The sequence below is a fragment of the Homo sapiens genome, chromosome 8 (genome assembly GCF_000001405.40).
Source record: "Homo sapiens chromosome 8, GRCh38.p14 Primary Assembly".
Taxonomy (NCBI): Eukaryota; Metazoa; Chordata; class Mammalia; order Primates; family Hominidae; genus Homo; species Homo sapiens.
In genome coordinates this window covers 119,401,904-119,429,311 of record NC_000008.11, presented here as the reverse complement: position 1 = coordinate 119,429,311, position 27,408 = coordinate 119,401,904, and the positions used below count along the sequence as shown (strand labels likewise).

The 27,408-nt window shown below is 39.6% G+C and overlaps 1 protein-coding gene and 1 long non-coding RNA gene across 2 annotated transcripts in view, besides 1 other annotated feature; one reads left to right on the top strand and one right to left on the bottom strand.

The window, feature by feature from the left end:
* Window positions 2,920-3,662: an enhancer, noted in NCBI's record as "NANOG hESC enhancer chr8:120437890-120438632 (GRCh37/hg19 assembly coordinates)". NCBI's record gives its function as "activates a minimal SCP1, AML or CMV promoter by ChIP-STARR-seq in naive H9 embryonic stem cells {active_cell/tissue: H9 hESC(naive)}" and the evidence as "EXISTENCE:reporter gene assay evidence [ECO:0000049][PMID:30033119]".
* On the bottom strand, window positions 4,878-12,866 carry CCN3 (cellular communication network factor 3). Its single transcript, NM_002514.4, has 5 exons — window positions 12,696-12,866; window positions 12,343-12,568; window positions 11,003-11,254; window positions 9,967-10,181; window positions 4,878-6,476 (listed from the first exon to the last, which is right to left on the bottom strand). Exons 1-5 carry the CDS (start codon window positions 12,777-12,779, stop codon window positions 6,180-6,182), a joined length of 1,074 nt encoding a protein of 357 aa, NP_002505.1. The 5' UTR covers window positions 12,780-12,866; the 3' UTR covers window positions 4,878-6,179.
* The window catches only part of LOC124902009 (uncharacterized), a 66,420-nt gene continuing 52,014 nt past the window's right edge, over window positions 13,003-27,408 (top strand). Inside the window, exon 1 of the long non-coding RNA XR_007061077.1 lies at window positions 13,003-14,341. This is a non-coding gene — a long non-coding RNA (uncharacterized LOC124902009). The remainder of the gene's footprint in view (window positions 14,342-27,408) is intronic.

Below are 27,408 nucleotides of genomic sequence, written 5' to 3'. Positions count from 1 at the left end.
GGACTGTTATAAGAATTAAAGGAAATAAAGTAATCTACGTAAAGCACTTTGCATAGTGTCTAGAACCTAATAAGCTTGATAAATGTCAGTTTTTTCCTCTTCCTCCACTTCCTCCTTTTTCATTTTTTCCCTAAATTTCATATATTCTAAAATAAACATTAGATTTTTTTTTTCATTTCTGAAAGTGATATGAGTGTTCCAATTGATGATGTGTCCTGAGCCAATTGACAGAATTTTAAAATTTCTTTTTGATATGTACATTAATAGTATACCTTACAATTGATGGCACCTAAATTGAGATAGAATTTGGAATCTTTTTTATTATTACTGCTAATTTGACTACATGAAATATGCAAGAAGATGCAAGAGGTCTCAGTGTAAACATGGTTCATTTTTCTGGAGCATCAATTTTACTTGAAGATTAAGGAGAAGTCAAAAAGTACTTGCATTTTTAGGAGAAAATGTGAGAAGCTATAGAAATTTTGGCCTGAAATGTTGGGTTTTTGCTGCTAGATGGTTAGATAATAAGTGTTCAGTCTGTTCAGCTGTTTGGAATACTGTGCTGAACAACCTTGAGAATCACTGTGTAAAACAGCCGTGAGAAAACCAGACAAGGTCCTTGCTCTCATGGAGCTTAGGGTTTCGTGGGAAACACACATACAAACAAGTAACAGAGATGGTGTTTCAGCTGCTATGATAGTAATTGTTACAAAGAGCAGTTGGGCACAAAAGAGGTTGGGTCAGGCTCATTGTAGTCAAAAGAGTGCTGGTGAAGAAGGCTTCTTAGAGAAGGTGAACTTAGAGTGGATTCTTGAACCATGAAATGGAATTTAGGGAGATAACATGGTACACTTAACAGGATCCTTATGGTCTTTATTCTCTTTTCTGGGGGCTATGATTTTCTACAAATTATTGGGGAAGATTCTCACTGCTCAACTTTCAGAGGAGCTAGAATGCCCACTTACTAGCATCTCCTGTATCAAAGTCCTCCCAGGATCTTCTAAGTGGCCTTGCTTCAGCAGGACAAACTTGGGTCAGCTTGGAGCATACTGACCCATATTTAACCCAAGCTAAGAACTTTATAACTTCTTCCAAACTTCTGATTCTATGCTACAAGCAGAGTCTGGTTCTCAGATTTTGCTAATAAAATGTAAGTCCAAGCCACATTTTCTGCTTGGATTATAAAATATTTGTTGCCAATTTCCTTCCAGTAGGACCTGTGGGCTGTTCATTCTGTGAAACCTTGTCATTTGAATGGAATTGTATACTGGGCTGAAATTCAGACCATTTTTTTTGTCCTAAGGAGAAAGACACACATTCTTTAGGAAGACTGGTACAACATTGCCATCTTTACCCTTTGCACCTCCTGATTATCCCCAGAACAGCTGGCTTAATGTAACAGTAATTCACGGTCCTCAGCTGGAAGGCTGCAGATAATCCTTCATTATTCAGAGTTCAGCAAGTGCCAGCGGTGTTATTGAAGTAGTAATTGAATTTTGTGAACCCTCTGTGGTCCAGACAGCATAAGAATGCCTGCAAGAACTGTGCAGTGTGGTTAAGATGAATACATTTCCAACAATATTGGATTGTCAAACTAAGCCCTATAGCCCATAGCCAAAAGGACATACTGTTTTGATGATTTGACTTGTGATGTTGAACATTTTGGAGTGAAACCCATTTGGAAGGATGACAACATGTACCTACAAGGAAGACATTGTGAGAGAAATCTAGTACTGCCCAGAAATCTCCACCAAAGCTTCACTGATAATCTCATCAAGTACAGATATGTATGTAACAAATTAGCTCTTTGTATAGTTAAAGATGTTCTTACCTCATTGTTGAATTGAATCTTTGTGTGGAAAAAGAAAAGAAAAATCCCCAAATAATTTTCAATGAAATGTGAGTTATCACTACACCAGCAATTAAGTGCTTTCAAAATGTGACATTCATAGAATGATCTCAACAGTCTCAATACTTTGCAATGCTGTTACTAAAAGAGAACATTTATAGTTTGGGAAAATAGCACAAAAATGAAACTGTTGGAATTGTTTTGGTTGCTGAAAATATACTTGGCCTCAGTGTCTGTGGCACTGTGTAAAGGAAAGAGCTTTGGCTCTGAGCTCAGACAGACCCTGAGTTTGAATCCTAGCTCCTTCATTTACTGTGTCCTTAATAGGTCATTAACTTCTTTGAGTTTCTTCATCTTTCCATGTAAAAATAAGGTCAATAATGTCTACCTTTGAACATTAAATGTGTAGAATAAGGGGCAATGCTTGGCTCTACTAAACACTTATATCAGCAGCTGCCATTTGCAGACCTACTATGTGCCAGGCACAGTCAAGCGCTTATGAATATATATTGTAATACTATGAGGTTGATATTTAGGGTGACCAACTTCTCCCAGTTTGCCTGGGACTGTCCTGATTTTATAACTGAAAAGTCCTGACTCCTAAAACGAGATAAACTGGAGCAGTCGGTCACCCTATCCATACATGGTCTCATCTTACAGATGTGAAAATTGAGCTCCAGAGACTGTGCAGAGAGCCCAGTATCCCATAGCTGGGAAAGAGTAGGCCTGGCATTCAGACCCAGGCTTGGATAATTCTCAAGCCTGTGCTCTTTCTGCAGCCCTAAACTCTGCTCAGTCAATGTTTCCTGCCTTGCTGTGTTACTAGAATGTTCCGAAATTTGCAAATATTTGTACATCAGATCACATTTTCTGACTGCCTTTAATTATAACTTCGGGAATGCATGCATGTGTGTTTATGTATGTTGGAGAGCTCTCCAGGTGATGGTGATAACGAAAATGATAGTCTAACATTTATTTCAAAGAACATTCTTCTGCCAGTGCAGAGACCATTCATTCATATATTTATTCATTCATTCAACAGGTATGCACAGTGAGGTCTTACTGTGTGTCAGGGACTTGGGCAGATACAGAGGACTAAAATGCTGGCCTCAAGATGCTCATAATGGGGGTATAGAGAATTGGTTGTAAAATACTGTGAGAACTATGATGACAGAGGCAAGTCCTGATACTCTTGCCCCTGCAGATACATCATCTCCCACCTCTCCTCCTATTCTGTACTCTAGCCTCATGGATCTTCCTTAATACTCCCTGACACTGTTTTTGTTTTGTTTCGTTTTGTTTTACAATAGATGTTACCTCTCACTGGAAGATTCTTTCTCTTTGTCATTCTGATGAAATGTCACCTCTTTAGAAAGAATTTCCTTGCCTCAAGCTAAATTAGCCACCCAGAAGTTTTCTATGTTATCACTCTGTTTTGATGATCCTCACAGATTTATTTACACATTGTTTGAAATTCACCTTCTTTGTTTGCTGCTTTTTTGCCTGCCTTTCCCAACAGCGTTATGTAAATTTCAGGAAGAAGAGAGAACGTGTTTATTTTTATTGTTTATTTTACTCATGGCTGTGTTCCCAGGATCTAAAACAATGCTAGGCACATAGAAGCAATCAGTAAGTAGTTTTTGAATGAACAAAGTGAATGACTTAACAAATGCTTTAGCTGCTGGAAGGAGCAGCCATCTCTATATGAGTAAGTAGCAGTGCAAGAACTATGCCAGAAGGGACATAAGTCAGCCTTAATTTTTGTTTTTCTGGTGATAAAGGTAGTATATTCACAGTTTTAAAAAAAAGTTGGTAAAGAAATGACAGAAAAGAACAAAAATGAGACTAGTCTGACGTTAGTCTAAATCACTAATCAGATTTTGTTACACGTTCTGTCCTAGGTCTCTTTTGATTCATGTTCATAGATACTTTTGAACAAAACCAAATCACTCTTTTCCTAGTTTCATGCCATTCTGTGGTATATTTTCGGATATCTTTTCTTATATTCTCAGTTTGAAGATTGCTTTGTTTTTCATCCTAACGGGTATACTATAATTAATGTAGCCAGATCTACACTGTGGAATCTTTGTTTCTATTTTTTTTTTTGCCTTTATGAACAACACATGGTAGAACAGTCTGAAGATAGATCATCTTTGCCAGGATCCATATGTTAGCAAGTAGAAAGTAAAAGGACTTTGGTTTGAATTCTAGATCCACCAGTTTCTTTTAACATTTTTTTTTTTTTGGTTTCCTCATCCATAACATGGGTACATGAAGAATGCCTACTTCATAGGACTATTGTGCCAATTAAACAATATAATGCAAGTACAGCTCTCAGCACAATGCTGTTGTGCAATAAATGTTTGCTGTCCTTGATAATTTCGTGTGAATAAACTCCTAGAAGGCAAAGTTGCTTTCTAATCCATCTTAAAGGACAAACAGAAACTAGCTAAAGAGAGGTGCAGAAAGGAGGGGGCAGACCCAGGAAGTGAAGTTGGTAATAGTAAAACTCTTTTGAAAAGATTTTTCCTTACAAATTATAGAACTTGAGAGCCACACTGCATCAGCAAGAAGCTTCCAAACACAAAACTTCTATTAACTGTGACTCTGCCCAGTGTGCAGCCCAGTTTGTCACGCAATTCCCCATGATCAATGGAAATATGCTTTTCTGGGTACTTGGCAAGATAATACTGATCAAGAAAGTGCTGGCCATTTAAGCCGTGCAATTGGGAGGATGGGATGCCCTTTGATTAGATGAGGAAGCCACAGAGCTGAATTTTGTTTGGTCAGATAACAAGTTTAAATTTCAATATACAGAGGTGTCTAGCGGGCTGTCCAGAAAAAAAAAGATCAGGGCTTGAGATGAGGGTCTGGGTAAGTAGTGTGGAGGCTAGTTGAGGCTGTGATGGTGAGGAACATCTAACTCAGGAATACTGAGTTGTCTTTTGTTTCCCTTCTGATAAGAAGTTGTAAGCTCATCCAGAAATACTCATTTTGCTTTCAATAGATGCTATTGATTGATGTCTCATTTAATTCATAAATTTTAATTTTATTTTCAGTAAACAACAATGTTCAACTTTTATGCACCAAAGTAATACAGAGTCACGCAGCAATAAAATCGTGTTTATTTAGTGATATGACAAGTAGAGAAATCAAACATAATATTTTACAAAATGTACAATTTATATTTTTATAAATACTTTAAAAGAGAGAAGCGGAACACGTGTGGTGGCATTAAAAGAATGTCTAGATTTAATTTTGCAGCCTACCTTGTAGCCTGACAAACCAGATACATGTATGTATACACATATATCTTGATCATGAGTTTTCATAATTATGGCCCAAGGATAAGTTTTGGGCATGTCTACAATAATTCCAAACTCTCATAAAATGTGTGGTCTCTCACCACCAGTCATGTTGATTTTGCTCTATTTTTCTCAAAATTCCACAAAATGCACATTTGAAACAGCTATCAGAGGATGTAAGCAAGTGCTTTGGGCCTCAGTTTACTCATCAGTTAGATGAGAGAATCCCTGCTAATATGCTGTTTCTGCTTAATTAAAAAACTTGGGGGCCTCAGCAGCTTCCAATATATAAATGTCTGAGGGCTATGAGGGACCAGTCATCTTTGTATTGGGAGTTTTCTGTTTAGTTTCTTTCTATTGGAAAGGAGTCAATGTGTCTTAAATGGAGAAAGTTTATGACACCAGTCCACTTAGTAAACATTTCATTACTGTAGATACAACACGTTTCCTAGTGTAAAACTAAACAGAAAAGTAATAGTCATCTCTGGATGTCATGTTGAAGAGCTGCATGTTTCCTTGGATTTGGAGCTTGGAAGTTCAGAGCTGGTTTACCCAAAAAGGGAGCCAATAGAGAATCTTCCCAATGAACCTCAATATATGGTTGTAATACTTGTACAATGAAATGTTAAGTATGATTCTAGACTTCACTGACTCATTACAGTGATATTTTCTTGGAATTGCACTAGTGCACAACAAAATATGATGAGTGCAATGTGAAACAGTCTACAAAGTAAATTATATACTTGTTTTCTTAAATTTATAGAAATTTGCATTTGTAATAAAACCACAGGAAAGTAAGTCATTCCTAAGCCATATCCTGAGCTTACCTTGATTCCAAGTTTACAGTTAATTACATTTTTTGTTAAATAAAAGACAGATATAAAGGTCCTCATATGATCACATTAGGAAAATACATAGGATTCAAGGATGAAATCGTGATTCTTCATTACTTTTCTTATATTCCTTTGATGGTGGGTGGCGCAGCAGCTACAGGTGCTCTGTAGGTGTGCTTCTTGAGTGACAGGTTACATTTTCCCTCTGGTAGTCTTCAGCTCCAGCTCCTGGAGGAAGGCCTCATTGTTCTTAGGACAGTTGGTGTGACAGGTGCAGGTCCCAATGACCATCACTGGCTTCTTGACTATTTGCCCTGGGGAGCACTGAAACTCTGCCTGGATGGTTTTGGTATTGTGGGGAGTGCAGCAGCGGCCATCACTGCAGACCCCACAGAACCTGGGCTTGTAGGTGTGCAGGCTGGTGCAGTTCTTGAACTGCAGGTGGATGGCTTTGAGTGACTTCTTGGTGCGGAGACACTTTTTTCCTTTCTAAGAAAGAAAAAAGAAGTGATGTATTGAATGGCTACCATTCCCCTGAGGGACAATTTTAGAGTATGGAATTACCTGCTAGTTGCCCACCCAATATCTATTGGTCTTTCTTCTTTGCTATCAGAACATTAATTTTGCTTGAGCAATGTAGTCAGCTAAAAGTATTTGCTTCCACAGACTATGTGGGACTTGGGATAACCTTGTGGCAAAGTTCTGGCCAAGAGAATCTGGGAAATTCTTTGCCCTTTGAGTAGGTACAATTCTTTATTGTTCCTGTATTCATTTTCCTTTCTTCCTGGAATGTAAACACCTTGCCTAATTGTACATAATGGTCTTTTGACATTGAGGAGATGAGCATGCAGGTGAAAGCATAACAAAACCTATCTTTTAAGACACTGTAACATGCTTTGGTGTCATTTTTAGCCAAATGGATTTTTACACGTGATACAGTTTGGTTCTCTGTGTTCATACCCAAATCTCTTCTCATATTGTAATCACCACGTGTCAGAGGAGGGGCCTGGTGGGAGGTAATTAGATCATGGGGGCAGATTTTTCCCTTGCTGTTCTCGTGATAGTGAGTTCTCACAAGATCTGATGGTTTAAAAGTGTGGCACTTCCCCTCTCACTGTCTCTCTCTCTCTCTTTCTGCCTTTCTCTCTCTCTTTCTCTCTCTCTCTCTGTCTCTCTCTGTCCTGCTGCCATGTAAGATGTGTTTTGTTTCCCCTTCACCTACTGCCATGATTGTAAGTTTCCTGAAGTTTCCCCAGCCATGTGTAACTGTAAGGCAATTACACATCTTTTCTTTATAAATTACTCAGTCTTGGGTAGTTCTTCATAGCAGTTTGAAAATGGACTAATACAACATGTTATAAAAAGAATGTTTATAAATCTGGCATTATTTTATGTTTCAAATACTCTTCAAACATTAACTCAACCTTATTAACAGTGTTCATTCATACAAGAAATAATCATTCATAGAAAGAACAATTGCCCAAGTTTTACAGATGAAGAAACTGAGTCTCAAAGACCTAAAGGGATCAGAAAACATCTAATATTTGAATTTGTCTGTACAAAGCCCATTCTTTCTATTACGTGATGAACCCAGGAAATTCCAAGACATGGAATTTGCATGGAGGCAAATAAAGTGGAGAATGTTTTCAAGATTGTATTAGTAATGATAAATGAAGAGGCCCAATGTTGATAATTCAGCAAAGAATTGGCTATATTTTATTTCTTACTTATATTTCTTAATCTACTAATTTCCTACAGTTATCCACTGTTCACCTTCATAGGCATGACCCACAGCTTGTGGGGTGATTAGACTTGGAATTATCTTAAATCAGTGGCTCTCAAACTTCAGTGCACATCAAAATCATCTAGAGGATTTCTTAAAACAAGCTGTCAGACCTCACACCCTGAGTTTTGGATTCAGTACATCCGATGTGGGACCCACACCACAAATTTACATTTTAACAACTTCTTAGATGATGCTGCTGGTTTGGGGACCACCCTTTAAGAACCACTGTCGGCCGGGCGCGGTGGCTCAGGCCGGTAATCCCAGCACTTTGGGAGGCCGAGGCGGGCAGATCACAAGGTCAGGAGATCAAGATCATCCTGGCTAACATGGTGAAACCCCGTCTCTACTAAAAAATACAAAAAAATGGTGGAGGGCGTCTGTAATCCCAGCTACTGAGGAGGCTGAGGCAGGAGAATAGCGTGAACCCGGGAGGCGGAGCTTGCGGTGAGCCAAGATTGTGCCACTGCACTCCAGCTTGGGTGACAGAGCAAGACTCCGTCTCAAAAAAAAAAAAAAAAAAAAAAAAAGAACCACTGTCTTAGATTTAAGAATCTCTTGGAGACAAGGAAGTAATGATTGTTATACTAGTACAATTTTTATAAAATATGTATACTATAAATAACCATCTTTAAAATAACATATCCAAATATTAAAGAAGATTCAAGTTACAAGAAAAAATACAAATTTTGCAAAATGACACAATAGAAAAAGCCACATCTTAGAGGCATTAAATGGAAACATCTTGTTTAATAAAGAAGTTGCTGTGCTATTGAAAATATTTAAGGACTTCTTCTTACTTTTTCAATTTAATATTTAGCGTGTATTCTTGTCAACACCCACAAAATGGTACAGGATAACAACATTCCTATGTGTGTGTATGTGTTTGTATGTGAGACTGCTTATGTGGGTGAACCTATATGACTATGTTAGATATATGTTTGAATTCCTCTGAGCGTGGGGAAGTGCATCTCCTAGGATATAATTTTAGGGATAAGGTGTTTCTAGGTGTTCTTTCTAAACTGGTGGAAGAAAAGTAAAGTTAGGATGGACTTCCAAAAATTATATAGCTAAGCAGCCATATAACTAATGCAACCACTAGGGACTCTTATTTTACCAGTAAATAGAAATCATAAGTAATGGTGGCTACTGTTAACAGAGTACTTAATCTATACCCAGCATTTTGCAAATTCATTCTATGTAATCATCGTGACAAGTTAAGGTAGGTACTTTCAGCCGCCCCATTATGTGGGAGAAGGAATTGAGGCTGAGAGGTTAAGAAAATTGCCCAAGATTACATAGCTGGTTCATGTGGAAAGACAGAATTTGAAGCCAAGCTGTCTGGCTCCACAGTTGTCCTCTTACGCATTAGATGATATTGCTTCAGTGTCAAGATATGTAAATCTTGAATTGCTAAGGGCTGTTTTATTTTAGTCTTAGGTTTGTATAAGGATCCATATAATGGTTCAAATTGGGTATTGCATTTTTCTGATATAGGGCTCTGGTAACAAGGCCTGTGATGTCATCAGCAACCAATCAGAGCTTCTGAACTGCACGTCTCACATTCAGTGTTAACATACTGAGTTGATGTAATTCCAACAAAAAAAAAATAAAAAGATATGTGCTGTTTTATTTGGCCCATATTGCTTTATGCTGGCAAATGTATTATTTCCACTAGGTTTTTAAAAATACCAACAATAATTCCCAGACAGTCACTCGCTTATTTATCAACAGTTGTTTATCACGCACACAATATCTGCCAGGTAGAAAGCTGAGGACTGAGAGGTAAGACCCACATGGCCTCTACCCATACATACAGAACCTGACGAATAAAGAGAACTGAGGTCAGAAGTGACCTCTTTAGAATCAGCTGTGCTTGACAACTGTAGCCAGTTTTCTCCAGGAATGGAATGGGATTTGCTAGACCATTCTCTATTGGGAAAAGCATTATAGTTTTCCGGTCCCTCTCCCTCTTTACCTGAGGGTGTACTGTGAGTTGCTTAGAGTATTTCAATATGTTAAAGAGAAAAAAGAAGATAGGCTGGCTTCAAGAACCCCACTGCCTTTTCTCTGGGGTTAACTCCCCGCTATAGCTGCTCTCTCCGTCACAGAGTGACACAGTGACTTTCTGAAGCCCAGGCTCCAAGGACACAAGGCCATTACCTTCAGGATGGGAGGTTTCCTCCAGGCTCCTACCTTATCTGTTGGCTGCTCTGGCTCTTGTTCACAGGGCCGCACCATGCAGAGCCGAGTCTGTTTCAGCATCTCACATTGACGGTTCCTATTGGTGACCCGGGTGGAGAACCCCATACCACAGCTCTTGGAGCATGCTGTCCACTCTGTGGTCTGTTCAATGCAGTTGACACTTGAGTCAGAGACTTCTACTCCTAGGGTGGCTTCTGGCCTGTAAGCTATGGGATGTATAAATAAAGACAGCCATATTAGGTACAATGTGAGGATTGGAAAGTGGTCCTTTTCAGCCATTATTAGAAACTGGGTCTCATTCGACTCTGTACCTACTAAACACCCATGCTCCCAGGACACAGAACTGAATTTATTTATCTATTTATTTATTTCTGGCATGGCTGATAATGTCTGCCCTCAGAAATAGTATACAATTCCGGATACTGCTAATATAAGTAATCTGGCTAATTAATGGCTTCTAAAATAATCCTCTATTGTCTCTTGAGATTTTTTATTTAAACTATTTCATTGATAAGAGAAAACAAAAATAAGAATAAAAAAAGGTCCTGAAGTGCCATCTGAGCCTTACTACAGCATCTAGAAAGATGACACTTTTCAGTGACACCTGTGCAGGGATGAGTAGCCTTCTTTAAGGAGGTTAATCATGAGACGGCCTAGGTAGTGTACAGAATCCAGAAAAGAAAGAGAATTTAAAATTTTGTCTTTGTAGTGCTAATGAGGGTCAAGTGGGATGGATTAAAATACAAGTAGTAGTCATCCAATAAGACAAAAATAAGACAAAAGAGTGAATTTGGGAGGTCCTCTTCAGGAGAAATTGCAGCAACCTTCTATAACTTAGTTTGAGTTTATAAATATGTTTGATCTAATGTCTACAAATGTGTTTGATCTCAGTGGGCAACCTGAAACCCACAACTGAATGACCAGAAACTGAGGCCAGTTTCTCTTTTCAAATCCAAGAGATTGCAAATTCTTCATGTTTGTATTTACCCTCTACTATGACCAGCCCTAGGTATATTGAGTTTCTCACCTGCAAGGGTAAGGCCTCCCAGTGAATCCTCCTCATCTGGGCCACAGATCCACTTTTCACAGCACTCTCCAGGCACCTCAACTTTTCTTGGAGCTGGGCAGTTAGGCTCAGGCAGTAGCACATCCAGCTGACAGCGGGGCACACAGCCAATCTGCCCATCTCTGCAGGTGCACTGGAATTTGCAGCTTGGCTGAAATTTCTCTCCACTGCGGTAGATGACCCCATCGAACACACAGTTATCTCCCTCTACCGCTAGAATATTGGGGAAGCAAAGTGAAAAGCAAAGAGGAAGAGGAAAAACAAGAACACAATACAGTGAAGAAGCTATGTAAGATTTGGAGGGCATGTTCCAAAACCCAAGTCCTTTTCTAGTTCAGGCGATCTGGTTTCTCATGTATCTACTGTAGAGTGATGTCCTCATGGAGGCCTCTCAGAGCAAGAAGAAACCTTCAAGATCATCTAGTCTTGCCACTCATTTTATGGATGAGGAAAGAGGTGTGCAACTGTGAAGTGATGTCCCCAAGGTCCCCTGGCCATTTTTCCCAATGTTCAGTCATTTTGCGAGAACCTCCTTAGAGTTTCCTACTCCAGCAGCTTAGACTTAAAAAGAGAAAAAGTGTACTTTATGTTTTCCAACAGGTTAGCTGATCAAATTGGGAAGGGCATTAAGATTCCTTGACACTCAAGCATAATAAAATCATCAGTAGCTTAGAGAAAAAAGTAAAAGCCCTCCTGTCCAGAAAGGAAGGGACAATCTTCAACTACAATGTTGTATCATGTGAAAAATTGATCCCCGACTGATTACGTTTTAGAAGCCTGGATTGGCTAGTTGCCTGCATTTTATTTTACTTGCAGCCAGAAAAGGGTTACATAGTTATCCCAGGAGACTAGCAGCTGCTTTGGTTCAAATGGGACAATTACAGGTGTGAAAACAAACCTGCTGGGTTTTCCCCAACTGCAGTTTGGGAAACTGTGAGCGTGTGAGTAAACCCGAGCTTCCATCAGCCCCAAGTGGCCCCCTAGAAGTGTCCGAAGGAAATGACTTCACTGGCCCTTAACTCTGCGTGGCTCCCCCTTTGCTTAGATTCTTGTCTAGGAAGCCAAGTGAGGAATGCCTTTCACCCCCAGGGCAGGTTTCCTTTCTGGCTCTGGCGCTCCCCAAAGCCCCAAGTGCTCCCCAAACCATGCCTGACACACAGTAAGTGCTCTATACATGTCATTTATTGCATTATTATTATTTGCTTATCGCCCTCTGGGAAGGGGAATACAAAAGAGAAGGGAGGAAGCAGCTTCACTTAGCTGCAGGAGAAGAGGTCAAACAGCAGAGGGAGCAGGATTACCCGTGCAGATGCCAGTCTGGTTGCTGGGGTCCGCGCTGCGATCACAGTAGAGGCCACTGCTCTCGTCGCATGGCTCCAGATCTGAGCAGCTCTCGCCACGCTGGCGGGCACACACCAGACAGCATGAGCAGCCGTCCAGCACCGCGCGCACCCCGGGGGCGCAGGTCGGCGGCGTCGCAGGGCACCGGCCCGGGCACTGGGGAGGGCAGCGCTGAGTCGCAGCGACCTGAAGGCAGGCGAGACAAGGAGAAACCACTCAGCTGGGACAGAAGACGCAGTGAGCCCGGTGACCAAATGGGGGCCACCAAGGCGGGCAAAGTAACTTGGGGGCATCTTAAGGGTGTGCCACTTACCTGTCCCAGGAGATGGAGAAGCAGGAAGGTCAGGCAAAGGCACTGCTTTCGGAGACAAAAGCTCGTGCTCTGCACACTCTGCATGCTCAGGCTTTCCCCTCTCGCTTTTACCAAACGAGACTTTCTTCGCTGTAGATTGGCACTGCTCGCCTTCCCCCTGGTCCGGTGCTTGCCGATCACGCCCAGCACAGGTTTTATAGCGCGCTCCTGGGACGCGCACAAGCCGGTTGGCTGCAGTGCAGGGAGGAGGGGGGAGATCGGCTGGGTGGGGAAGTGGAACGAACCCCGGGGTTGCCATGGCAATTGGCTGTGGGTGCTGCTCTCCTTAGGGCGCGGCGCCGGGGCCTGCGTGTGCCTGTGTGTGGCGACTGGCTTTTCCCAGAGGGTGGGGAGGGGCTGGGTGGAGTTCCGAGGCCAGGACCCAGGGCTCGCTCGAGCGCGTGGGAAGGAAACGCCCGTTTCCTCCTGGAAGTTGCTTCGCCTTCTCCCAGGACGAAGACACCACCACTCCCCACCATCCTCCTCCACCCTGACCGTTCCAACCAGGGCTGCAAGCGTGGGGTCCCCTTACGGGATGCCTGCAGTTTGGGGCCATCTGCAGGGGATTGGCAGAAGGCCCAGGGGTTTAGTCATGAGGGAAGCACATGCAAGTTTGTCACCGTTTAGGGCACTCATTGAATGTGTTGAGAGGGAGGGGAGAGAAGCAAGGGAGGAAAGGAGAGAAAGAGGAGAAAGAGAAAAGTGTGTGTGTGTTGGGGGGAGGGGAGTGGCAGGGGGAAGGGAATCTAGAAAAAAAATCGATATGTCAGGAGGTGGGGAATGCTATTGGCCAAATGGCAAAATTCTTTTGACTCTAATCCTTCTAGCTTCACTCAGTCTTAAACCCCAAGGTCCACAGGTTTGTTAGAAATAAAAGTAAAACACACACACACACACACACACACACACACACACACACACATAAAGAAAACATCATAAAATAAAACAAAGAAATCTTGGCAGAAGAAAGCCTTGAAGCACCTGCTGTAGCAGACCAAATGTGAGACGGCACACCTGAGAGTCCAGAAACCTTTGACAGTTTTCTAAGTGGGTTCAGTTCAACCACCATCACCACCATCAAAACCTCCAGCCAGGGAAGAAATGAGGAAGAAACTGGCTTAACTTGGCTGACCCTTCAGCAAATCAAATCCTTCTCTCACCGGGCATCCGCTTTCAAGAAATGATTGCTGGGGCATGCTTGTCATCTCTCATGGGAAAAAGGGAGCAGTTTTACTGCTCCAAAGGTGACATTGTTTGAAGGATTTAGAACAGTTTCCCCCCACACTTCAACACTGGTGCTGCCCCTAGGAGAACTATGCCCAGCTCTTTTGAGGATAGTTGCTTTGGAAAAAAACAAAAAACACTTTTTAAGGAAAATTATACAGGCCTGTGATGTAATTCTAGAGTTTAAAAAGAAACAAATGGCCTCTACCTCATCTGTCCCCAGCATGAAGGAAATCAAAGGCAGCTTGCGGAAGGGGCCAGGTCTGCCTCTGCAACACCCGCAGATGATGAGGTCACCTCAAGCCCCTTCTAGATAATTCTCTCGGCAGCCTGAAACCACTATGACACACTTCCAAGCCTCTAATAGTTCTGCTTTCTTTGAGGTAAATGAGACTGAGTAGTACTCAAACTTAACTAGAGATGAAACAGTTCATTTGCACTCTTGAGTAGGACATTTACCTACTCTTCAAATTGATAGGCTTTGGAGGGTGGAGGGTGGGAGCAGGGAGAAGATCGGGAAAAATAACTAATGGGTACCAGGCTTAATACCTGGGCGATGAAATAATCTGCACAACAAATGTCCATGACACACATTTACCTGTGTAAACAAACCTGCACATTTACCCCTGAACTTGAAATAAAAGTTTAAGAAAAAGATAAAACAAAAAACAAAAAAACTGATAGGTTTTGTAAGCCATTTGGCCTAATGATGCCTCCATCTGGCTGCAGATCGAATCAACCAGCATGTATTTTGTTAAAAATACAGATTCCTGAGCCCCACTCTTGACCCACTCAGTAGGATTCTCTGGTGGTGGCTCTTGGTAGACAGCATTTTAATGTACTTTGAAATGGAGCAACTAGAAGCACTGCTAATGGGGAGGCAAAGAGCATCGGCCAAGTGTTCCAAGCATGAATAGACTCAGATAGAACAAGGAGAAATTGGCAACATGGAGATTGGGCTAGCTCTTCTTGGAAAGAGTGGGGTGGGAGTGGTGACAGGGAAAATGTAACTTTAAGACAAGGATTAACATGTCAAGAAGTCACTGCAAGTGTAAAATTGCTATTCAGTTTTGATTGCAAGAGATGGAAACCAAACTTGAACTAGTTTTTGCGAAAAGAGGACTTTACTGGAAGGATGCTGTGATGTTTCACATAGTGACAGCACAGGAATGGTACAGGGAGTCCTCAGAGGCAATTGGGATCTAGAGAGAGGAGGGCCAACAGGATTACTTCCACATAAGGGAAAAATGATCCTTCCAATCTTCTTACTTTATGACCTTATCACCACAGAAGGAATGTCCCTGTCTCTTAGGCCCAACTTTAAAAGTTCCAGGAATTAAATTGGATGGGTTCACCCTGGACTAATCAATGGGGACAAGGAAGGTGAAGTATGGGGATTAGTTAGAACCTCATGGTTGGAATGGAGAGAAAGAGCAGTTCTCTTGGGAAGAAAGGACTGTTCCTTAAAAAGAAAGCAAGCTTGGTGAGCAAAACAATACACATCCACTCCATCATCTGCTATAAATGCTCTAGGATGAGGATCTTCATCTTAAAACAATTGTAAATTGAAAGTGATACCATCTGATGATAATCATGTCATGTCATGCTTCACTGCCTCCAGGACATAGTCTCTGAAATCCTTCATGCCGGGATAGATGTTATCCGCAGTGCAGGCCTGGGATGCCGAGCTTATCTCTTTTATCTCATAACTCACTGGATAATCATTATAGTCACACCATTTAATGATGGGGATATTGTTGGAGAAATGTGTCCTTGGGTGATTTCATTGTTGTGTGAACATCATAGAGTGTAGTTACACAGATGCGGATGGTGTAGCCTACTACACACCTAGGCTGTATGATATAGTCTATTACTCCTAGGCTACAAACGTACAAACAGTACAGAATATACTGCACTGAATACTGTAGGCAACTGTAATACAATGGTAAGTATTTGTGATTTAAACATATCTAAACTTAGAAAAGGTGCAGTAAAAATATGGTATAAAAGATAAAAAATTGTCCACCTGTGTAGGGCACTTACCGTGAATGGAGCTTGCAGTGGGTGTCAGTGAGTCAGTGGTGGGTGAATGTTAAGGCCTTGGACATAACTGCACACTACTATAGCCTTTATAAACACTACACTTAGGCTAAGCTAAATTTATTCAAAAATTTCCTTTTTCAATGATAAATTAACTTTAGCTTACTGTAACTTTTTTACTGTATAAACTTTTAATTTTTTTAACTTTTCGACCCTTTTGTAATAACACCTACCTTAAAACACAGATACATTGTACAGATGTACAAAAATATTTTCTTTATATCCTTATTCTACAGGCTTTTTTTTTTTTTTTTTTTTTTTGAGATGGAGTCCCTCTCTGTCACCAGGCTGGAGTACAGTGGTGCAATCTTGGCTCACTGCAACCTCTGCCTCCCTGGTTCAAGCAATTCTCCTGCCTCAGCCTCCCAAGTAGCTGGGACTATAGGCACACACAACCACGCCCAGCTAATTTTTTGTATTTTTAGTAGAGACAGTGTTTCACCATATTGGCCAGGGTGGTCTCAATCTCTTCACCTCGTGATCCACCTGCCTCGGCCTCCCAAAGTGCTGGGATTACAGGCATGAGCCACTGTGCCTGGCCTCTATAAGCTTTTTTCTAGTTTTAATATTTTTATTTTTTTTTTTTTTGTGAAAAATAACACACAAACATACATATTAGCCTAGGTCTACACAAGGTCAGGATCATCAGTGTCACTGTCTTCCACTCCACATCCTGTCCCACTGGAAGGTTGTCAGGGGTAATAACACACATGGAGCTGTCATCTCCTCAGATAACAATGTCTTCTTCTGAAATACTTTCTGAAGGATCTGCCTGAGACTGTTTTATAGTTAACTTTTTTTTATGAGTAGAAGTATGCTCTAAAATAATGATGAAAAGTATAGTAAATACATAAACCAGTGACATAGTCACTTATTATCATCATCAAACATGGACTATACATAATTATATGTGCTATACTTTTATATGCCTGAAAGTGCAGTAAGTTTGCTTACACTAGCATTACCATAGACACATGAGTGTGCTACAATGTCATGACAGCTACTATGTCACTAGGCTATAGGAATTTTTCAGCTCCATTACAGTCTTATGGGACCACCATTGTACATGCCGTCCGTAGGTGACCAAAATATTGTTATGTAAGATGTGACTGTACTTGTCTGTTTTGGTGACTGCCTCCCTGTCCTGCCTGGGAGTCCTTGAGGACACAGAGCATGTCGTATTTACAGTAACATCCCCAACATCCACCTCAGGGTCAGGCAAGTGGTCAGTTCTTGGACCTTTTGAGATACTGCAAACTCCACTTTAAGTTTTGCCACTTTTCATTGCTCTGCATAAGATGAGATAAGAAACAAACTGGAGGCTGTTTGCTCTTCAGCAGCAGCTAAATTGGTCCTATCAGCCACCACCCATCAGCCTGTGACATGAAACTTCTCTGGGTCTTGCTTGGCACTAAAAGGATGGAATACAGGCTGGTGATCTTCTCCTGTTTGAAATAATCCATGTGGCAGTTGAGGTCTCTGGGAGAAGTCAGGGGATACCTTATTAGAGATTCTTTTTTGAATTGCTGGGCTTGGCAGCTAACCATGGGGTTATGAACTGCAAGGACTTTGGCCAATTTACTTTTCCCCCTTTAATTTTGTCCTCTCCTTTCATCCCCTCATCACAGATGTGACATCAGGGGCTCATTTTTGCCTTTTCTTTTTCACATAGCCTGTTAATTGATTTATATTCTTATTACTTCTCAGTCAGTACTCTTATCCAGAACACACTTAGAGAATTGCCTACATTTTCTAAAGGTACTATGTTGTTTTCAGTGCTATTGTGTTATCTTTCTTATTATTATGAAAAATTTAAAAAATTGGTGCTAAGTTCTGTAGCAGGTAGTTAAAATAGCACAGCCCCTGCCCCCATATTAAAAAAATGAAACAACCTCATAGAAGTAGAGAGTAGAATAGTGGTTACCAGAAGCTGGGGGAAGTCAGGAGGGGAGGACATGAGGAGTCAGTCAGTGGGTACAAAGCTACAGTTAGGAGGAATAAATTATCCTGTTAAATTGCACCATAGGGTGACTATAGTCAACAATAATATTTCAAATACTAAAAATGCTCATCATCACTGGCCATCAGAGAAATGAAAATCAAAACCACAATGAGATACCATCTCATGCCAGTTAGAATGGCAATCATTAAAAAGTCAGGAAAAAACAGGTGCTAGAAAGGATGTGGAGAAATAGGAACGCTTTTACACTGTTGGTGACCGTAAACTAGTTCAACCATTGTGGAAGATAGTGTGAAAATTCCTAAAGGATCTAGAACTAGAAATACCATTTGACCCAGCCATCCCATTACTGGGTATATACTCAAAGGATTATAAATCATGTTGCTATAAAGACACATGCACACGTATGTTTACTGTGGCACTATTCACAATAGCAAAGACTTGGAACCCACCCAAATGTCCATCAATGATAGACTGGATTAAGAAAATGTGGCACATATACACCATGGAATACTATGCAGCCATAAAAAAGGATGAGTTCATGTCCTTTGTAGGGACATGGATGAAGCTAGAAACCATCATTCTGGGCAAACTATTGCAAGGACAGAAAACCAAACACCGCATGTTCTCACTCATAGGTGAGAATTGAACAATGAGAACATTTGGACACAGGATGGGGAACATCACACACTGGGGCCTGTCATGGGGTTGGGGGAGGAGGGAAGGTTAGCATTAGGAGATATACCTAATGTAAGTGACCAGTTAATGGGTGCAGCACACCAACCTGGCACATGTATACATATGTAACAAACGTGCACGTTGTGCACATGTACCCTAGAACTTAAAGTATAATAAAAACAAGTTTCAAATACTTCAGAATAGCGAGAAGACAGGATTTTTAATGTTCCTACCACAGAGAAATCAAGAGCATTTGAGGTGATGGCTATGCTATTACCCTGATTTGATCATGATGTAATCTATACGTGTCTTGAAAAATCACACTGTACCCCTTAAGTACGTAGAATTATGATGTATCAGTTTAAAAACAACATACAACTAAAAAAAAGGAACAAAAGTGGTGATAGTGATGTTATCACCTTCAAGACAACTCCCTGCCTCTTTTTTTCTCAGTGATTGTATTCTCCGTAAACTCAAAGGCATTCATCCTGTCTTCATTTAGTCATTGTTTAGCCAAGCCACATGTACTTAGCTTTCATAATGTGCCTCATAAATCAACCCCACAGCTTTTTAATAATTTTGTTGCTCTTTTCTGAATTTCATTCATATGTCCCTTTTCTGGGGCCCCAGGGAGTTGATAGAACACAAGGTAATTTCCACTATATGTTAGGCAGGCCAGGCCTAAGTGACGTCCAGTTATATGGCTAATTTCAATCACACCCTCTTGCTTTTCTGACAGATCCCTTGACTTCTTGCTTTTCCAACAACAATGAGGAGCAGAGAAGAAGCTGTGATGGGAGGTGAAAAGTTAAACATAAAAGTTAAATGTTTCTTTGGAAACATTTTCCTACTGCCTGTATTTAAAACATTTTTTATTCTTAAGTGAATTTCTTAAAGAAAAAACCCAGGAGGTTAAGTAAAAAGTCATTCAAGCTAGCAATTTGCTAGGAATGAGAGAAACAAGTTAATTCCTTCCATTAGATAAGGTCTTTCTTATAGGGAAGTAGGCTCTGTGGAAATCAAATAAGTATTTAAATGTTTTCTGAACTGGAGAGGAGTGCATCAAGCTTCTATGCATGCAGCATTCCCAGCTTCTGGGCACCAACATTGCCCACTTCCATGCTCAGCTAAACAAAGTGGTCCTGAGCAGTTTTTTTTTTTTAAAGAAAAAATATGAATTCTTCATTGAATTCCATTGTAACAGCATGGTAGGGTAAACTCAGTCCTGCTCCCTTGACCAGAACTCTTTAGACTAGGAATTGGTGCCAGAGACAAAGGCACATACATATGGACTGAACATCAGATTAACCAATAGCTTGTCAAGAGTGCTCCATATTGGATGATGGTAGACCCAACTCACAAATGCTGGTGGCTGAGTATACAAAGAGCAAGGAAGGCAGCATCACTTAAATACAGGAGAGGTCCTGAAAATTTTCAAATTATTGTCCCTCGAGAAAGAAGAAAAAAATTTAGGCTCTTTTTTGAGAGAGTTCCCTATTCCCAAATGATATCTTAGAGCCAAGAAATACAACCTCTCCCACCCAGTTTCTGGATTTGTAGCACCTTTTAACTTAGACTTTTGGAGAGGCATGACCACAGAACTTTGTTGCATTTAACGATGTGAATGTTCACAATGTCCTATTAACTTATTGATAACTACTTAATACTTCATGGCATAAATGTAAGATGAATAAGATGCTTTGTATTCTCAAGGATTTTTTTTAACCTCATAAGAAAATGAAGTAAATAATAACTACCACATGAGGCAGAATGTGATAATTCCTACAAACAAACATGAGCGAAGTAGAAGAGAAGCTTAGAGGAGGATGAAATTAATTTCTTTGCTGTGAGAAGTTGAGTGTGGTGGAGTCTGCAGAGGGAATGTTGAGAAAGACTCTAATTCCATGTTTCATTGTTTGTCTTTTTACTAAACCACATTGCCTTGGAGACTAAATGACATTGAGTTGGATCAAGTATAGATAGAATTTTTTTGTGTGATTACTAAAAATGATTTAAGATTTTAAAAAAATAATTTCAAGTTTTATTTTAGAATCAGGGGATACATGTACATGTTTGTTTCATGGTTATATTGTGTCATACTGAGGTTTGAGGTATAATTGATCTTATCACACAGGTCATGAGCATGGTACCCAACAGTTAGCTTTTTAACCCTTGCTCCCCGCCTCCCTTCTCCCTCTGGTAGTCTTTCAGTATCTATTGTTGCCACCTTTATGTCCGTGAATACTCAATGGTTAGCTCCTACTTATAAGTGAGTACATGAAATATTTGGTTTTCTGTTCTTGCCTTATTTTTTTTAGGATAATGGCCTCCAGCTGCATCCACATTGCTGCAAAGGACATGATGTCATTCTTTTTTATGGCCACACAGTATTCCATTGTGTATATGTACCACTTTTTTTTTTAAATCCAGTCCACTGTTGATGAACACCTAGGCTGATTCCATGTCTTTGCTATAGTGAATAGTATGGTGATGAACATATGAGTGCATGTGTCTTTTTGGTAGAATGATTTATTTTATTTTGGATATATACCCAGTAATGGGGTTGCTGGGTCAAATGGTAGTTCTTTTTTAAAGTTTTCTTGAGAAATCTCCAAACGGCTTTTCACAGTGACTGAACTAATTTATATTCCCATCAGCAGTATATAAGCATTCCCTTTTCTCTGCAGCTGTGCCAGCATCTGTCGTTTCCTGACTTTTTAAAAGTCAGAATGCTGACTGGTGTGAGATGGTATCTCATTGCACTTTTGATCTCCATTTCTCTGATGATTAGTGATGTGGAATATTTTTTTCATGTTTCTTGGTTGCTTGTATGTTGTCTTTTGAGAAGTGTCTATTCGTGTCCTTTGCCCACTTTTTAATGGGGTTACTTGCTTCTTTGCTTGTTGAATTAAGTTCCTTATAGATTCTGGATATTAAACCTTTGTCAGATGCATGGTTTGCAAATATTTTCTTCCATTCTGTAGGTTGTTTGTTTACTCTGTTGATAGTTTCTTTAGCTGTGAAGAAGCTCTTTGGTTTAATTAGGTCCCACTTGTCAATTTTGTTTTTTGTTGCAATTGCTTTTGAGAATTTAGTCATAAATTATTCCCTAAGGCCATGTCCAGAATGGTGTTTCCTAGGTTTTCTTTTAGGATTCTTGTAGTTTGAGGTCTTACATTTAAATCTTTAATCAATCTTGAGTTAATTTTTGTATATGGTCAAAGGTAAGGGTATAGTTTTATTCTTCTGCATATGGCTAGCCAGCTATCCCAGCACCATTTATTGAATAGAGAGTCCTTTCCCCATTGCTTATTTTTCTCAAATTTGTTGAAGATCAGATGGCTATAGGTGCACAGCTTTACTTCTGGGTTCTCTATTTATGTTCCATTAATTTATTTGTCTGTTTTCGTACCAGTACTATGCTGTTTTGGTAACTGTAGCCTTATAATATTGTTGAAGTTAGGTAAGGTGATTCCTCTGGCTTTGTTCTTTTTGCTTAATATTGCTTTGTCAATCTAGGCTTTTTTTGTTCCATATGAATTTTAGAATAGATTTTTTCTAATTCTGTGAAAAATGATTTTGGTAGTTTGATAGGAATAGCATTGAATCTATATATTGCTTTAGGCAGTATGACCATTATAACAATATTGATTCTTCCAACTCATAAGCATGGAATATTTTTCTATTTGTTTGTGTCATCTATTGTTTCTTTCAGCAGCATTTTGTAGTTCTTTTTGTAGAGTCCTTTTACTTCTATGGTTAGATGCAGTTCTAGTGGGTTTTTTTTGTGTGTGTGTGGCTATTGTAAATGGGATTACATTCTTGATTTGACTCTCAGTTTGAATGTTATTGGTGTATAGAAATTCTAGTGATTTTTGTACATTGATTTAGTATTCTGAAACTTTACTGAAGTTGTTTATCAGTTCCAGGAGACTTTTCGCAGTCTTTAGGTTTCTTCTAGGTATAGAATCATATCATCAGTGAAGAGAGATAGTTTGACTTCTTTTTCTATCTGGGTTCCCTTTATTTCTTTCTCTTGCGTGATTGCTCTGACTAGGACTTTCAGTACTATGTTTAATAGGAGTGGTGAGAGATGGCATCCTTGTCTTGTTCCATTTATCAAAGAGAATGCTTCCAGCTTTTGGCTCTTCTGTATGATGTTGGCTGTGGGTTTGTCATAGATGACTCTTATTATTTTGAAGTATGTCCCTTTGATGCCTAGTCTGTTGAGGGATTTTATCATAAAAGATGTTGAATTTTATCAAAAGCCTTTTCTGCATTTGTTGAGATGATCATATAGTTTCTGTTTTCAATTCTGCTTATCTGGTGAATCACATTTAATGATTTGCATATCTTGAACCAACCTTGCGTCTCAGAAATGAAGCCTCCTTGATCAGAATTAACTTTTGATGTGCTGCTAGATTTGGTTTGCTAGGATTTTGTTGAGGATTTTTTTTGTCTATGACTATAAGGGATATTGGCCTATAGTTTTCTTTTTCCATTGTGTCTTTGCCAGGTTTTGGTATCAGGGTGATGCTGGCTTTGTAGAATGTGTTTGGGAGGAGTCCCTCCTCTTCAATTTTTTTGTAATGGTTTTAGTAGAATTGGTATCAGCTCTTCTTTCTATGTCCAGTAGAGTTATTCTGTGAATCCATCTGGTCTGGAGCTTGTTTTGGTTGGTAGATTTTTTATTACTAAATCAATTTGAGTACTTAATACTAGTCTGTTCAGGGTTTTAATTTCCTCCTGATTTAATCTTGATAGATCGTGTGTTTCCAGGAGTTTATCCATTTCCTGTAGATTTTCTAGAGGGTGTGCCTAGAGGTGTTCATATAAGTCTCTGAGAATCCTTTGTATTTCTGTGGGATCACTTGTAATGTCATCTTTGTTATTTCTGATCATGTTTATTTGGATCTTCTTTCTTTTTTTCCTTGTTAGTCTATCTGGCAGTCTACTAATCTCATTTATTCTTTCAAAGAACTGACTTCTAGTTTCACTGATTCTTTGATTGGATTTTTGGGTCTCAATTTCATTCATTTCTGCTCTGATTTTAATTGTTTCTTTTCTTTTGTTGTCTTTAGGGTTAGTTTGTTCTTATTATTCTAGATCCTCTAGGTGTGATGTTAGATCATTAATTAGAGATCTTCTAATTTTTTGAGGTAAGCATTTAGTGTTATGAACTTTCCTCTTAACACTGCCTTTGCTGCATCCCAGAGATTTTGGTGTTTTGTCTCTGTTTTCATTTATTTCAAGAATTTTTTTTTTTTATTTCGGCCTAAATTTAGTTGTTTACCCAAAAGTCATTCAGGAACAAGTTGTTTAATTTCCATGTAATTGTGTGGTTTTGAGAGATCTTCCTGGTATTGATTTCTATTTTTATTCAGCTGTGATCTGAGAGTATGCTTGGTATAATTTTGACTTTTTTGCATTTATCGAGACTTGTGTTATGGCCAAACATGTGTTCAGTCTTGGAGTATGTTCTGTGTGCAGATGAAAAGAATGTGAATATATATTCTGTAGTTGATGGGTAGGGTATTCTGAAGATGTCTGTTAGGTCCAACTGGTCAAGTGTAGAATTTAAGCCCAGAATTTCTTTGTTAGTTTTCTGCCTTCATGATCTGTCTAATGCTGTCAGTGGGGTGTTGAAGTCCCCCATTCATGTATAGAATTTTGAAACCTAGAAATGTAGGCTGAACAGAGACAGTGTGAACCAAGGCATAAGAATGAGACAATTGAGGACTTGTTCAGGAAATGATAAGGAGTTTAATTCATCTGGAGGGAGGAAGATAATGGGAGAAATGATATGAAAATAGACTGCAGCTGTCAACTGTTAGAGGAGTCTAAATGACAAACTGTACAGTTTAGTGGCTTTTCATCTATCTATCTATCTATCTATCTATCTATCTATCTATCTATCTCTCTATCTATCTATCTATCTATCTATCTATCTATCTATCTATCATCTGTCTATCGATCTGTCTATCACATATCTTCTGGCAAGGAATTGCGTGATCAAGGCTGTGTTTAGGAACATTATTCTTTAGGAATTTATATTTGATTACAGGAGGAGGTGACTGGAGGTAAACATTGCAGTTGACACATTTTGCAGCAGTTTAAGGAGAGATAATGAGGATTTGAACTAGCAGAGTGGCAATGAGAATGGAAAGAGGAGGTAGGAGGTTGGAGGTAGAGAATATATTACCCTCGTTGGTGCTCTGGCTAGATATGAAAGGGCAGGGTAATGCAGATATAAACATAACAACAGATTTTGACTCTGGATAACTAAATAGATTGTGGTAGCATTTTGCTGGAAGCCAGACAGCTTCTGTGATGAAACATCTCTGCCATCAGACTGCCTGGGCCCAAATCCTTAGATCTTAGATTCTTTACCTTACCAATTTGTGCGTCAGTTTGTTTTTCTATCTGTAGGATGGAAGTGCTAATAATTCTTTCTTCCTAGGATTGTTAGGCTAAATAAAATAAAATATACACAGAAAGTCCTGCAGCCCTTCTGAATTGGGTCCTGTGAGAGAATGAAGTCCTAATGCTTTGACAAATCCACTGCAATAAATTCATTTCTCTTTCCTGCAACTTTAGTGGTACTTGCATGTAACACACACCATAGGGAACTGTGGAACGTCTCAGAAAGAAAAAGTTAGGAGGGGCTTGTTATAAGATTTGGGCTTGGGTTAGGTGATTTTGAGGATATTTCATGGAAGTTGGGTTCTGTCCTGAATTGAGTACTGACAAGAAACAAAAGTAAGTTGATGATTGGTTATCTTAATTATCTTTATTGCAGAGGCAGGATAAAGTAACCACAGATTTTGTGTTTGGAGAAGAGGCAATAGTTTCTTGTGTTAGCTGGAATGGGAGTTTGGTCATTTTTGTGGTTGTACAATGTCTTTATTTTTATCAACATCAGGCATGATTATAGAGTGTACTAATCAAACTTCTACTCTTTTCCATCGTCTTCCAGAACTTTCCAGAGTAGAGCTGAAGTTTCAGAAGAATTCTTTCTTGCTGGAGCTACCCTGTGTGTCCAGGTCTTCTGCAAACCAACTAGAACAGTGGCTTTCAAGCATTTTTGGCTATGAACCAATATGCATAAATGCATGTTCACATGTACACATACCAGCCCTTTATAAAATGGTTTTTTTTTTCCTTTTTCTTTTCCTTTTTTTTTTTTTTTTTTTTTTGAGGTGGAGTCTTGCTCTGTTACCCAGGCTGGAGTGCAGTGGCACAATCTTGGCTTGCTGCAACCTCAGCCTCCCGGGTTCAAGTGATTCTCATGCCTCAGCCTCCCGAGTAGCTGGGATTACAGGCACCTGCCACCACACCCAGCTAATTTTTGTATTTTTAGTAGAGACAGGGTTTCACCATGTTGGCCAGACTGATCTCGAACTCTTGACCTCATGTGATCCACCTGTCTCAGCCTCCCACAGTGCTGAGATTACAGTCATGAGCCACTGTGTCCAGTCGATAATATGTTAAGGTTGTGTAGTCCATGTTTAGGCTTTTGCTTTTTAACAAAGGGAAGCCATTGAAAACTTTTATATAGTAGAATAAAATGATTTCCAAATAACCCAACTTGATGAGTAACTGCATGGAGCACGAGGGCATGTAAGGAGACCAGTTAGAAGGCCATTCCAATTACTCAGCTAAGAGATAATGATGGTGTGGGCCAGAATCTGGCAGTGGAGATGGGGAGAAAACATTTTAGAAATAATTGCAAAGTAAATATTTTGTATTTATGATTTTTAGTTGAAGTGACAGAAACAAACCAATACTAGCAAAGCAAGCCTAATCATAAGATTACAGGACTGCCTCCAAAGAAATGTAGGGATATAGCTGAGACTTAGAAAAGACCTGGAACCAAGAAAATGGAAAGTCTTAGGAAACTCATGCAGAAACTTTCCTTTATCTCTCATCTCTTTTTCTAAATTTCCATGGCCTTCTCTAACTAAGCATACTGATTTAATCTATGATATGTACATAGGGTGAAAGATAGCCATAACACATCTCCAATTTTTGACATCTTTTCTGTTTAAAAGAAAACATGTAAAATTGAATATATAATTTATTAGTTTTAATTCTAATTTCTCAAGAGGGTGAATGAGGTTGGTCCAAGGTCAATCTTTATAAGTGGATTCAGGAGGAAGTTTTATGGTTACAATAAGATTCTGGGGACCTATCACATTGGATAGAGATATGGTTGGAGTTAGGAATACACATGAGAAAGTTACTCTCTAAAAAATTTCTATTTTCTCATGAAGAAGTAGACTGCTGATAGTAAGAGAAGGTGGTAGAGTCAAAGATTTGAGGATACTGGTAAATAACTGAAATTACAATTGCAGAAAGAGAGAAACTGAGTAGAGGGTCTTAGTGTGACCACAGGTAACATTGAGAGCTCTGCTGGGATTAACAACTTTCAATTTGTGGTGGTACTAATCTGCAAATTGACAGATACAGAAAGTTTAAGTATCAGGTGATGACAATGATGGAACATGGATATTAAGAATGAGAAGATGTGTGAAGAGAAGACACTCATGGGTAGAGTGAAAGTAGAAAGAACAGCACGTGTAAATGCCCTGAGGTAGGAGGGCTTTGGTAGGTTTGAGGCTCTATGAGAAGTCTAGGAGTGGGCACACTGTGTTTGCAGGTCGGAGTCACCAGTTGGCTTTTTAAAAATTTATCACCTTGTACAGTGCCTCT

Excerpts from the sequence above, each read along its gene's own strand:
- CCN3 (NM_002514.4), bottom strand. The coding sequence starts at position 12,779 with ATGCAGAGTGTGCAGAGCACGAGCTTTTGTCTCCGAAAGCAGTGCCTT. Across the intron at positions 12,569-12,695 it reads TTCTCCATCTCCTGGGACAG|GTCGCTGCGACTCAGCGCTG; the intron begins GTAAGTGGCACA and ends GCCTGCCTTCAG. Across the intron at positions 10,182-11,002 it reads GGGAGGCCTTACCCTTGCAG|CTTACAGGCCAGAAGCCACC; the intron begins GTGAGAAACTCA and ends TACATCCCATAG.